The following is a 13,118-nucleotide window of genomic DNA, read 5'->3' as shown; positions in this document are numbered from 1 at the left end:
TTATTTCGCGGAACACTTACTTCCCCTGTCCACGTCACACTGTGGGAGGTGCTAGGAGCGACCTGCCAGGCGGGCCCGGGTGTGGCCCAGCCACACAGTCCTGATGCTTCCCTGCCCCTTCCCAGAGCCCGGGCCTTCCACCCACCCTGCCAGGCCTGGCTGTTGGCTGCCTTGGGTGTTGCTGTCACATTGTTGCTGGGGCTCAGGATCCTCGCCTCTGCTGGCCTCCTGAGACCAAGCTTAGCTGTCACCATGGCCGGGCCCTTCACTGCTCAAACATGAGAGTAGAGTGTGGCCAGCGGCAGGAGCCTCTTCCCCTGTCTCAAGGGACACAGCTCCATGGCTCAGTGGAAGACTCATGATGTGCCCCGGTGGCATCGTTCTCTCTGGGGTACCCAGCCCTCTAAACCAGTACAAAGCACCTTATTTATTTATTTTTTGAGACAGGGTCTCACTCTGTCTCCCAGGCTGAAGTGCAGTGGCGTGATCAGGAGCAGGTGAGACCATCTACAGCCATAGATGGCAGGACAGGGCTTACCTCTGTAGCTGGGGATTGGTTGCCTGGAAGCACAAAGGCATTCTCTGTGGTGATGCAAATGTTCTTTAGTTTGGTCCGAGTCGTGGTTGCATGTGTGGATAGGCAGGTAAAAAAATCAGGTTGCAGCGACCTGAGATTGTACCAGTGCACTCCAGCCTGGGCGACAGAGCGAGACAAAGAAAGAAAAAGAAAGAAAGAAAGAAAGAGAGAGAGAGAGAGAGAGAGAGAGAGAGAGAGGGAGGGAGGGAGGGAGGGAAAGAGAGAAAGAAAGAAAGAGAGAGAGAGACAGAGAGAGAGAGGGAGGGAGGGAGGGAAAGAGAAAGAAAGAAAGAAGAAAGAAAGAGAAAGACAAAGCAAGAAAGCAAGCAAGAAAGAAAGAAAGGAAGGGAGGGAGGGAGAGAAAGAAAAGGAAAGAAAGAGAAAGAAAGAAAGAAAAAAGAAAGAAAGAAAGAAAGAAAGAAAGAAAGAAAGAAAGAAAGAAAGAAAGAAAGAAAGAAAACCCAGCACAGGTGAGCCCTCCACTTCCCGGGCTCAAGAAATCCTCTGGCTTCAGCCTCTCAAGTAGCTAGGACCACTGGAGCACGCCACCACGCCTGGCTAATCTTTAAATTATTGTTGTAGAGATGGAGTCTCCCTATGTTGCTCAGGCTGGTTTCGAACTCCTGGGCTCAAGCAATTCTCCCACCTCGGCCTCCCGATAGTGCTGGCATTACAGGCGTGAGCCACCACACCCAGCCCAGGACTAAGCACCTTAGATTTATGACCACAAGCCTCAAGTGGACCCAGGCAGAGCCAGCCTTCCTTGGGAATTCTAGAGTTTCCTCCCTGGTTCTCCAAGGCCTCACACCTTCCCCTCAGCCCCCAGGCCCTGCACTTTCAAGGTGAGAACTTTGTTTCATGTTTCACTGAGCAAGTTGAGAGCATCTGACGAGAATTTCTTTCCTTGAGTTCCCATCATCAAATCTGTCCCCTCCCCAGCCCTAGCCCCCTCAGGTGAACACTTCCCACCATGTGCAGTGGTCTCTGCCACCCCTGAGACCCCCTCTCTCCTCCTGTTTTCTGCACCTGTAATTTTTCTCTCTCCCTGTGGGGTCAGGCCCAGCAGCATACCAACATGCCCTTGGAGCTTCTATCACCGGAAGCTCCCGCTCCTGCCTCCGCATGCCCCCTGGCTCTTGCCCCGTTTCACTGCTCCTGTTTACAGCAAAACCCCTCAAGACTCCTCTACACTCATTGTCCCCCTTGATCCCCACCTGTAACAGCGTCCACTTATTGCCCTCCAATATCTGTTTTTCTGTTCTTCCATAACACTAGATTTGTGGCTTGGGGACATGGCAGCTCAGCTGAAGACCCATTTCCCAGCCTCTATGCACCCAGTAGGGTGGTGGGGCATGAGTGCACCCATACCTGCAGGGCAAACCTGTGCTGGCGCCTTTCTTCCTTCCTTCCTTCCCTTCCTTCCTTCCTTCCCTTCCTTCCTTCCTTCCTTCCTTCCTTCCTTCCTTCCTTTCTTTCTTTCTTTCTTTTTTTCTTTTTTGAGATGGAGTCTCGCTCGATCACCCAGGCTAGAGTGCAGTGGCATGATCTTGGCTCACGGCACCCTCTGCCTCCCAGGTTCAAGTGATTCTCCTGCCTCAGCCTCCAGAGTAGCTGGGACCACAGGCGCCCGCCACCACACCCAGCTTATTTTTGTATTTTTAGTAGAGACAGGGTTTTGCCACGTTGGCCAGGCTGGTCTCGAACTACTGATCTCAGGTGATCTGCCCGCCTTGGCATCCGAGACTGCTGGGATTACAGGCGTGAGCCACCACGCATGGCCTTGTGCCAGCCACTTTCTGTCTCCTTACAGCTGAAAGGCAAATGTGATCTGTGATCATGGGGAGAGCTACCTTGTCGCACCAAAGGGAAGTCGCACGTTGAGGATGGCGGAACAGCAACAAAGGCAGCCCGAGGGCCTGAGCACCTGGAGCTGCCACATCGGCCCTGGGCTGCTTTCCTGGGTTTTTAAAAAATTAAGGCATTTTGCTTTTTAGAGCAATTTTAGGTTTGCAGAAAAATTGAGCGGAAAGTAAGGAGTTCCCACAGACCCCGTCACTCCCCTTACGCCTCCCCATGATGAACATTTCGAGTCAGTGTAGTACGTTTGTTACAATTGGTGAGCCACAGTGAGAAGCTCGCATGAACTAAAGCCCATAGCTGACATCGGGGTTCACTCTGGTGTTGTCCATTTATGGGTTTGGACAAAGGTATAATGACATGGATCCACCCTTACAGTATCATACAGAGTAACTCCACTGCCCTAAAAATCCGTGAAACAAGTCCTTATTGAGGATTACTGTGCAGAAAATCAAGTGCACGCCTGGTTTTTTCACCTGCCTATCCACACATGCAGCCACAACTTGGACCAACTAAAGAACATTTGCATCACCACAGAGAATGCTTTTGTGCCTCCAGGCAGCCAATCCCTGGCTGCAGATCTAAGCCCTGTCCTGCCGTCTATGGCTGTAGATGGTCTCGCCTGCTCCTGACGGGTATGGAAATGGAAGCACACGCTCTGGAGCCCTTTGTGCCGGCTTCTTTCTGGAATCACTTCCATGAGACTCATCCAGGTTGACGTCTGTGTCCCTTCTTCCCTCTGTGATGCTGACTAGTAGCCATTGTATGCACGCATGCACCGCGACTCACTTACCCATTCCCCCGTTGATGGACGTGTGGGTTGTTTCCAATGGTAGCCATCATGGATAAAGTGGGCATATGCAGTCCTTTCTCTGAGATCCGTGCCCTAGAAGGAGCAGTGCTGGCTTGTGGAGTGGGCGTGCCACCCCCTTTGCTGTCCTCTGCTTGGTGATGCTCCTGCTTTACCAGCGCCTCCCTCCTAGGCTCTGCTAGCTGGGGGCGTTTAAGGGAGCCCACAAGACTGGAGGAGGAAGAAGGGACCTGCTCCTTCCTGGGCGCACCATCTAACAAGGCTTCTTCACCCTTGCAGCAAGTGCTTCATTTCCGTGGCACTGCCTGAAGCCAATTTTCAGATCTCTCAACACTTGCAAGACCAGCTTCATTGCATCCCACCTCTGAGACACCACCACCGGACACCCAGTGCCCTATGCTCCAAAATCTGAGTACTAGGCCATCCCCTGAGCTCAGAGACCCCAGCATCAGCCAGACCCCTGCTCCTTAGAGGTCTGGATCCCAGCCCCACAAGTCCCTCTACTGAGCTCACTCCTCCACAACTAGCTAGGCCACGCCCCCACCTCAGACCTCAGAGACCCAGCTTCAGCTCTGTGGGCCTCTCTCTAACCAACTTCCTTCCTTCCTTCCTTCCCTCCCTTTCTTCCCCTTCCTTTGTTCCTTCCTTCCTTCCTTTCTTCCCTTCCTTCCTTTTCTTCTTTCTTTCTCTTTCTTTCTTTTTCTTTCTTTCTGTTTTCTTTCTTCTTTCTTTTTTCTTCTTTCTTTCTCTTTTCTTCTTCCTTTCTCTCTCTCCTTCCTTTTCTCTTTCTCTCTTTCTTTCTTTTCTTCCTTCCTTCTTTCTTTCCTTTCCTTTTTCTTTCTTATCTTTTCTTCCTTCCTTTCTTTCTCTCTCTCCTTCCTTCCTTTCTCTTTCTCTCTCTCTTCTTTTCTTATTTCTTTCCCCTCCCTCCCTCCCTCCCTCCCTCCCTTCCTTCCTTCCTTCTTTCCTACCTTCCTTTTTCTCTCTCTCTCTCTCTCTCTTTCTTTCGACAGAATCTCCTCTGTTGCCCAGACTGGAGTGCAGTGGGACAGTCATGGTTCACTGCAACCTCAAACTCCCAGGCTCAAGTGATCCTCCTGCTCTCTCACAGCCTTGATCTCGGGCTTCTTCCCTGCAGAACTGTGAGAGAATCCATTTCTGCTGTCGAAGCCACTTGGTTTGTGGCACTTTGCTATGGCAGCTCCAGGAAATTAACACAGCCCCTCAGGCTGGGGAACGAAGGGAGTTAGGACTCTTCAAACAGAGGAGGCTGGGTGCTGTGACTCACACCTGCAGTGCCTGCACTTTGGGAGGCTGAGCTGGGAGGATCACTTGAGCCCAGGAGTTCGAGACATTCGTCTACAAAAAATACAAAACGTAGCCTGGTGTGGTGGCACATGCCTGTAGTCCCAGCTACTCAGGAGGCCAAGGCAGGAAGATCACTTGAAATCTCAACTGCATGCACCAAGGGAGGAGCTGTCATCCTTTCTACTTCCTGATCAGATCCTGGCTGATAGCAAAATTGGCAGCTGGAGTGGTGTCAAGAATCATATCCTGAAAGATGGGGTTTGGAGATTGGTTTGTTTGCGTCCTTGAGCTTGAAAGCAATGGTAAGTTTCAGGGTCTCACTCCTCCCGACCACTGCCTGACATTTCATGTGAGACACGTGGCGAGGCTGGGAATCAACTGACGTTGCGATTCTGTAACCCAAGCAATTAAAGTTTGTGTTTGATTTAGCACTGTTAGCCCTGCAGGTACAAGGAGTAAGAGAATTTTTAGGGCTGACCTGGTAGCCCTCTGGTGCCTTGCAAGAGGATACCCATTCTCCTCTCAGAACCCACCACAACCACCCCCTGTCCCATAATGAGGGTGCAATCCACCACAGGTGGACAGGTACACACTAAAACACAAGAGGAAAACCTATACACCAGAACAATAACATGATTTTCGTTAAGAAATATTGGCAAAAACCTGGGCGAATATGTGTGGAAGTGAATTCTAAGGATGTTCTACCAAAAGGGATGGATATAACATTGGATTGGGCACAATTTCTTGAGCTGGGGGCATTTACCAGAGGGCCTATATTTAATGTTGGTCCATGCAGCTGAAAGTGACTCTAACAGCCTATGTGGTTGGTTGATTTAAACTGGAACTCAACTGTGGCGTAAATTCAATGATAGTGAGATGCCAGAACAACCCTTGCCTAATGGAGAGAAAGGAACCCAATGTCACGATTCTGAGGGAAATAGCAGAGATTAGTGCCTTGAACTTGAAGGTTGCAGTCGTGATGTCTCTTGTATGCTATTTGTCTATTTGGTGCTTGGCAGAAGGTGGATGGCTCTTCAAGAATGACCGCAGGTGAATTGATTGCAGCTGCTGTTTCAGACGCAGTCACTTTACTGAAGCAAAGCGTCATAGCCCCTGCGTCTAGCTTGCTACTGCCCTGTCAAATAGTAACACCAGAGAAAAGACCACCAGAGCACTTTCTTTTATTGCTCAGGTTTGAAAAGCTTATGTATTTGCACTTCAAAGACCACATTTCTTTTAACCTGGCAGGGCCAACAGTACATCTTCACAGTCTTCCCTAAAGGCTCTGCCATCTCTCCTCCTCTCTGACACGAAACGGTACTTACAGACTTTGATTCTTTCTCTCTCTCTCTCTTAATTTGAGACAATCTCCCTCTGTTGCCCAGACTGGAGTGCAGTGGCGTGATCTTGGCTCACTGCAACCTCCGCTTCCTGGGCTCAAGCGGTTCTCCTGCCTCAGCCTCCTGAGTAGCTGGGACTACAAGCATGCGCCACCACACTGGATAATTTTTTTATCTGTAATATTTTGTAGAGATAGGGTCTTGCTGTGTTGCTCAGGTTGGTCTCAAACTCCTGGGCTCAAGCTATCCTCCTGCCTCAGCCTCCCAAAGTGCTCAGATTACAGGCGTGAGCCATTGCACCTGGCCAATAGCAGTTGTTTTGATGGTAAACTTTACAACTTAGCCTCTAGGTCACAGAATAGTTAAGTGGTACTATGACTTATTTAAAGGAGAAATTAATATCACCAATACCGTGACTGTAATTTGGAGATGATTACAAAGACTGTTGGGACTTTATGTCTCCCCTCTTGAGAAGAGGGTAGGAGCATATTTGTATGAAGGATCTTGTTAGGCAGAAACATAAAGTTGTCATTACTGCTGAGGGAAGTTCAAATTATGCAAGAAGGCTTCGAACTGATGTTGCGAAGCCAAAGGGGCAGGGGCGGGGAAGGTGCCATACTCTGCTTTGTGAGGCTGGCGCTGGGACTCTGAACCTACATTCCTTCTTTGTCTTCTGGCTGGTTGTCAGTTTCCACCAACTGGGACACTAGAGGGAGACTGGAAGGCTGGGAAGGAGAGAAGGGTCTTGCTCCTTCCTGTTTGTTTTCCATTCCTGTTGCTGTAGCGCCAGTCTCAGTTGGCCCTTAGCAGCAGCAGTGGTTTCAGGCTCCAGCTCATTTCGGCCTTCTCGGAACCCGCCAGATGACACCCCTTCCTCGGAGGTCAGAGGCCCAGTTCTACATGCCCCACCAAGTGTTGGCAGCACCAGCAGCAGACATGCCACACCCAAGATGTGCAAGCCCATTGATTATCAGAGGAACGCAAATCAAAACAACAGTATCACTTCATACCCATTAGATTGACAAATACACACACACCTAGAAATGCAGGCAATAGCAAATGCTGGCAGGGATGTGTGGCTAGAGAGCGCTCATGTACTGCTGGTGGAGATACAGACCAACACAACCATTCTGGAGAACAATATGTCAGTATCTCATCAATTAAGTATACACTAGGTTGGGTAATTTTGGTAATTCTCTGTAATTCTGCTCTTGGGGATACATCACAAAAATTCTTGGCTGGGCGTGGTGGCTCACGCCTGTAATCGTGGCACTTTGGGAGGCTGAGGTGGGAGAATTACTTGAACCCAGGAGTTTGAGACCAGCCTCAGCAACATGGTGAGACTTCATCTCTGCAAAAAATACAAAAATTCGCCGTGTGTGGTAGCTTATGCCTGTGGTCCCAGCTGCGTGAGAGGCTTAGGCAGGAGCATCCATTGAGTCCAGGAGGTTGAGGCTGCAGTGAGCCATGTTCATGATACTGCACTCCAACCTGGGTGACAGAGCAATGGCCTGCATGACAAAGGTCATGGTAGCATTATTTGTAGTGACTAAGGAAGCAGATAAAACATTAGGGAGTGTTATGCAGTACTTGGAAGCAAGATTATATGTAGACTCAACAATATAAATAGAGCCTAAAACCTAGTGCTGAATGACTTCTGTGTCTGGCAATGACAAAATAAGTAATTTGAACCACAACCTCCACTGAGAACAACTAAACAGACTCAGTAAAACAGGGAAAATATTTGCTTGAAAATATCCAAGTGATAATAGGCAGTGAAGCATATGGGACCAAGATATGGGAGAAAGGAAATGAGCTGAGAGATGAGCTCAGCATTTAAGGCTGCTTATCCCCTATGGCCATCCGCTAATTCCAGCAGAGACAGCTGAGGGCCCAAGAAGCTGAGCAGAACAGTTAGCAGACTTAAGAGGTGAGGGGTCAAAAGTCAGAGTGCAGGGCTCACCAAGGAAGAAGGCCCTAGTAAGCTCCTCGTGCTTTGGGTTGGAAACCCAAAGGTCTAGGAATAAGTGTAAACTGGAAATAGAATAGCCCTCTAAAGGACTGCATCCCTGTCCCCTAAGGGACTGTAGTCAAGATTTGAGCTCTTTCAATCCCTGAAAATTGGATTAAGGTGATCAGGATTTCTAGTGCCCCAGCTGCCTGCCAGAAACAAATGTAAATTTTCTCTGGAGGAAGATAACATTGTCCTTGGCCTCAAATGATTTATAGTTTCCATTCACAATGTCCAGCACTCAATAAAAAATAACGAGGACAAGGCCCAGCATGGTGGCTCATGCCTGTAATCCCAGCACTTGGGAGGCTGAGGCAGGGGGATTGCTTGAGCCCAGTAGTTCAATGTTACAGTGAGCTATGATTGCACTCCAGCCTAGGTGACAGTGTGAGACCCTGTCTTAAAAACAAACAAAACATGTCATAAGGAGAAAAGAAAATTTAATAAAAATGAAATTAGAAAAGTAATATAATAAAAATAGAGCCACAAGGACTCCAAATAATGGCATTATCAGATACAGACTTTAAAATAATTATATTTAATAATTCAAGGAAACAAAAGACAGAATTGAGAAATTTAGCAGATAATTTGAAACTACAAAAAGAATCTAGTGAAAAATTTAGAAATATAAAATATACAAATTAAAGTTAGGAGCTCAATGGGTGGGATATACAAGAGCTGAAGAGAGAAATAGTAAACAGAAAGATAAATCAGAAGAAAATAGCCAGACTAAAGCTTGGAGAGGTAAAAAGGTGGTAAAAGACAATGCAAAAGGAGGTAAGAAACATAGGGGATACAGAAAGAAGGTCTCATATATGTGTGTGTGCGTGTATTTTTTTTTTTTTTAAGACAAGGTCTTGCTGTGTTACCCAGGCTGGAGGGCAGTGGCACAATCTCCACTCACTGCAGCCTCGACCTCCTGAGCTCAAGCAATCCTCCTGCCTCAGCCTCCTGAGTAGCTAGCACTACAGGCACATGCAATCATGCCCAGCTAATTTTGTTCATTTTTTTTTTGTAGAGATGAGGTCTTACTATGTTGCCCAGGTTGGTCTTGAGCTCCTAGGATCAAGGGATCCTCCTGCCTCAGCCTCCCAAAGTGCTGGGATTACAGGCATGAGCGACCATGCTTGACCTAATATATGCTTAATTGGAGTTCAGAAAAACAAGGTGAGAAAGAATGGGGCACAGATAATATTTGAAGAGTTAATGGATGAAATATTTCCAAACTGGTGAAATATATCAAGTCAGTTTCTAGAAGTCACGTGAACCAAGAGCGGGATAAAACAAACAAAAAACCACACCTAGGCACATCATAGTAAAACTGAGGGAAAGCAAAGACAAAGAGAAAACATTCAAAGCAGCTGGTGGGTGGGTTGATTACTTTTATAGTTATGCAGTTTGACTGACAGCCAACTTCTCAACACAAACTACAGAAGCCAGAAAACAAGACAATGGTATATCTGATGTGCCAACAACAACAAAAAAACTGCCAGCCTTGAATTTTATGTCCGAGGACAATCTCTGTCCTTGGATCACAAAAATGGCCTCAAATTCTTGCCATCCCTGGATGCATACCCTTTTGTGATGGAACTTTCAGCTCCTCCCTGCAAGAGATAGAGTCCATTTTTCCACACTCTCAGATCTGGGCTTGGCCATGTGATTTGCTTTGGTCAACGGGACATTAAAAAACACAAGGCTTAAAAAGTGCCAATATGGCTGGGCGCAGTGGCTCACGCCTGTAATCCCAGCACTTTGGGAGGCTGTAATCCCAGCACTTTGGGAGGCTGAGGTGGGTGGATCACCTAAGGTCAGGAGTTTGAGACCAGCTTGACCAACATGGTGAAACCCTATCTCTACTAAAAATACAAAATTAGCCGGGCATAGTGGCACAGGCCTGTAATCCCAGCTACTCGGGAGGCTGAGGCAGGAGAACTGCTTGAAGCTGGGAGGTGGCAGTTGCAGTGAGCAGAGATGGTGCCATTGCACTCCACCCTGGGCAACAAGAGCAAAACTCTGTCTCAAAACAAGAAACAAAACAAACAACAACAACAACAACAACTCAAATAAGGGAAAAGGTGGTAGGATGGCAGGACTGACTATAATGTAAGCTTAGGAGCAGCTATTCAGTATTTGGGACTCTAGAGAAAGTCAAAGAAGAAAAGAAGAAACTGAAAAACTCTGTGTTAGCTGCTCAGGTCTGTTTACTGAAAGGGAGTAACTCCTGTTCTGGGCAACCCAGAAAGGAAAGGAAGCAAGACACGTGTCATCATTGCAAGAAGCAAGGACATTGGAAGAGGGATTGTCCAAAGAGACTGGGGCATGCAGGATGGCAGGAACAAGAGAATCAGGGGTGGGGGCCTAGGAGGATAAAACTCTCAGCTAGGAGATACTTTGCAAATGGCTCAAAATGGATAGATTGAGGAGATGGCAGTGGCGGGAAGAGATTAGGGTTAAGTGTGTGTATGTCGGTCACTGTTTGCCAGGCTGACCTGTCCTTGCCTTTTCTCATACAGACTGGTGCTACTTATTCTGCATTTGCCTTGGAAAGCTCTTGCTCTTGCTTTCCATCAGTACAGGTTGTTTGTATCTTGACTCAGCCTTCTACATATTCCCTTCCCTCCAATTCCCATCAGATGGGCCCTCTGCCTTTGCCTAAGGAGCAAGTGCTCCCCTTTCCTCCTGACTCTTCTGTAAACCTATTGGCGAGAGACCTGCCATGCACCTCCAAGCCTACCATATTCAGTGCCGGAAAAGCCCCCTTCCTGAGCTGACACAAATCAAGGCATCTTTTGAGCCCTAGAGAATCGAGATGCTGATTTAATTTGAGCTATAGAACCCATAAAATCAATTTACCAAAGGGATAAGCCATAGCTGTGTGTAAAACAATCTCCTTTGTTGGGAGCTCAATTAGAAGGAATGAAATAGGTTATAAAAGAATTAGAGGCCAGATGTGGGGGCTCACCTGTAATCCCAGCACTTTGGGAGGTCGAGGCAGGAGGATCTCTTGAGCCCAGGAGTTTGAGACCAGCCTGGGCAACATAGCAAGACCCTGTCTCTACAAAAAGCAAAAAAAAAAAAAAAAAAAAAGAAAGAAAGAAAGAAAGAAAGAAAGAAAGAAAGAAAGAAAGAAAGAAAAATTAGCGAGGCGAGGTGGTGCATGCCTCTAGCCCTAGCTACTCAGGAGGCAGAGGTGGGAGGATCTCTTGAGCCCGGGAGGTTGAGGCTGCTGTGAGTTGAGATGGTGCCACTGCACTCCAGCCTGGGCGACAGAGCAAGATCTTGTCTCAAAAAAAAAAAAAAAAAATAGAGAAACAAGGGATAATTTGAAAAAGCCACCACTTTGAAATAGTCTCACACTTCTGAAAGAGAAGAGAGGTAAAAGTGATGAAGATGGTCAACTGCTAAATTTATTTGTATAAGATCTTAAAGAAGGCCGGGCATGGTGTCTCACACCTGCAATCCCAGCACTTTGGGAGGCCAAGGCAGGCAGATCACCTGAGGTCAGAAGTTCGAGACCAGCCTGGCCAACATGGTGAAACCCTGTCTCTAAGAAACATACAAAAAATTAGCTGGGTGTGGTGGCACGTGCCTGTAATCCCAGCTACTTGAGATGCTGAGGCAGGAGAATCACTTGAACCCGGGGGGCAGAGGTTGCAGTGAGCCGAGATCACACCACTGACCTCAGCCTGGGCGGCAGAGAGAGACTCCGTCTCAAAAAAAAAAAAAAAAAAAAACTTAAAGAAGTAAATATGTGTGCTGTTCTGTTTACTCCAGCAACTCTTCTGACTTTGGTACCATTGTCTGCAAAGTTTTTCTCTGTAATTGATCAATTTTCTGCATTTTCTGTCTTTCCATTCCTCTAGCAGATGAATCTAAATTCTTGTTTGCTTTTGCTTATGAGAAAGTCTGATATTTATGGCAAAGAATTCCTCAAGGGTTTTGAATGCTCCCATTATTTTCTCTAGTCATTTACAGAAACACTTAGAGGAATTTCTCCCACCAGAGGGATCTATGATTATTTGCTATGTAGACGACTTGCTACTAGTAGCCTCAGAAACTGAAGAGCAATGCAAAACTGATGCTTTGGCTTTACTGCAATTTCTCATCTGGCGGGGACATAAGGTCTTGCTAGACAAATTGCAATAGTGCTAACCTGAGGTGAAACAATTAGGGCATCTGTTGTCAGCTGTGAAGAAAGAGAAAAAGAAGCTGATCCTTAGGCAGGAAGTATAAACAACGGGAAAGACTCTCTTAATAAATATGAATCTCCCTTTTGGAATACCAGAGCATTTGAATCAGACAGAAAAAGTCATTTTATTCCTACTGTCATCCAGTAGCATAAAAAAATTAATGAATTAATTAACAGATTAATGAATCCAGCTCTGAAAGACTCATTGGCTAAGATTCTGCAACCTACAATGTTAAGATGGCCTGGAACTTTCCCACTAGCCTTGTTTAAAATTACAGCCACTCCTTTAAGCAAGCATGGCCTAGCTCTAACTTGGGTCCAAGACCAAGTCCTGTGGCTGATTTTTTTTAATGTTTTTATTTATTTTTATTTTTTGAGAAAGAATCTTGCTCTGTTGCCCAGGCTGGAGTGCGGTGGCATGATCTTAACTCACTGCAACTTCTGCCTCCCAGATTCAAGTGATTCTTCTGCCTCAGCCTCCCAAGTAGCTGCGATTACAGGCATGTGCCACCACACCTGGCTAGTTTTATTTTTTTGTATTTTTTGTAGAGATGGGATTTTGCCATGTTGGCTAGGCTGGTCTTGAACTCCTGGCCTCAGGTGATCCACCTGCCTCAGCCTCCCAAAGTGCTGGGATTACAGGCATGAGCCACTGTGCCTGTCCTTCCTGTGCCTGATTTAACTGAATCCTCCCGTAATCATACTCAATACTTAATAGGGCTTTTCTCTTCTTTAGAAACCATGAGACTTAAAAAGTCAGAAGGATCTGGAGGTAACCCTCCAAAGAAGTCCACCATCCCAGTTGACTGGGAGGTTTCCTCTGCATCAAAGCTTTTCCAGGGGAAAGGCCTGGGCTGCCACTGTGCTGAGAGGAATGTTTTCAAATGCTACTGATCACCTACAGGGCCATCGGAGAGAAAGAAAAACGCAGCTGGACTCTTGGGAGGATTGCATTGTGGTTGCCACAAAGGACTTTTCCTGTAACTGATATTGGCTGCTCTATCCACAGTAGTAGTTATTTGAAT

Source organism: Homo sapiens, chromosome X (assembly GCF_000001405.40).
Source record: "Homo sapiens chromosome X, GRCh38.p14 Primary Assembly".
NCBI lineage: Eukaryota > Metazoa > Chordata > Mammalia > Primates > Hominidae > Homo > Homo sapiens.
This window is presented reverse-complemented; position numbering follows the sequence as displayed.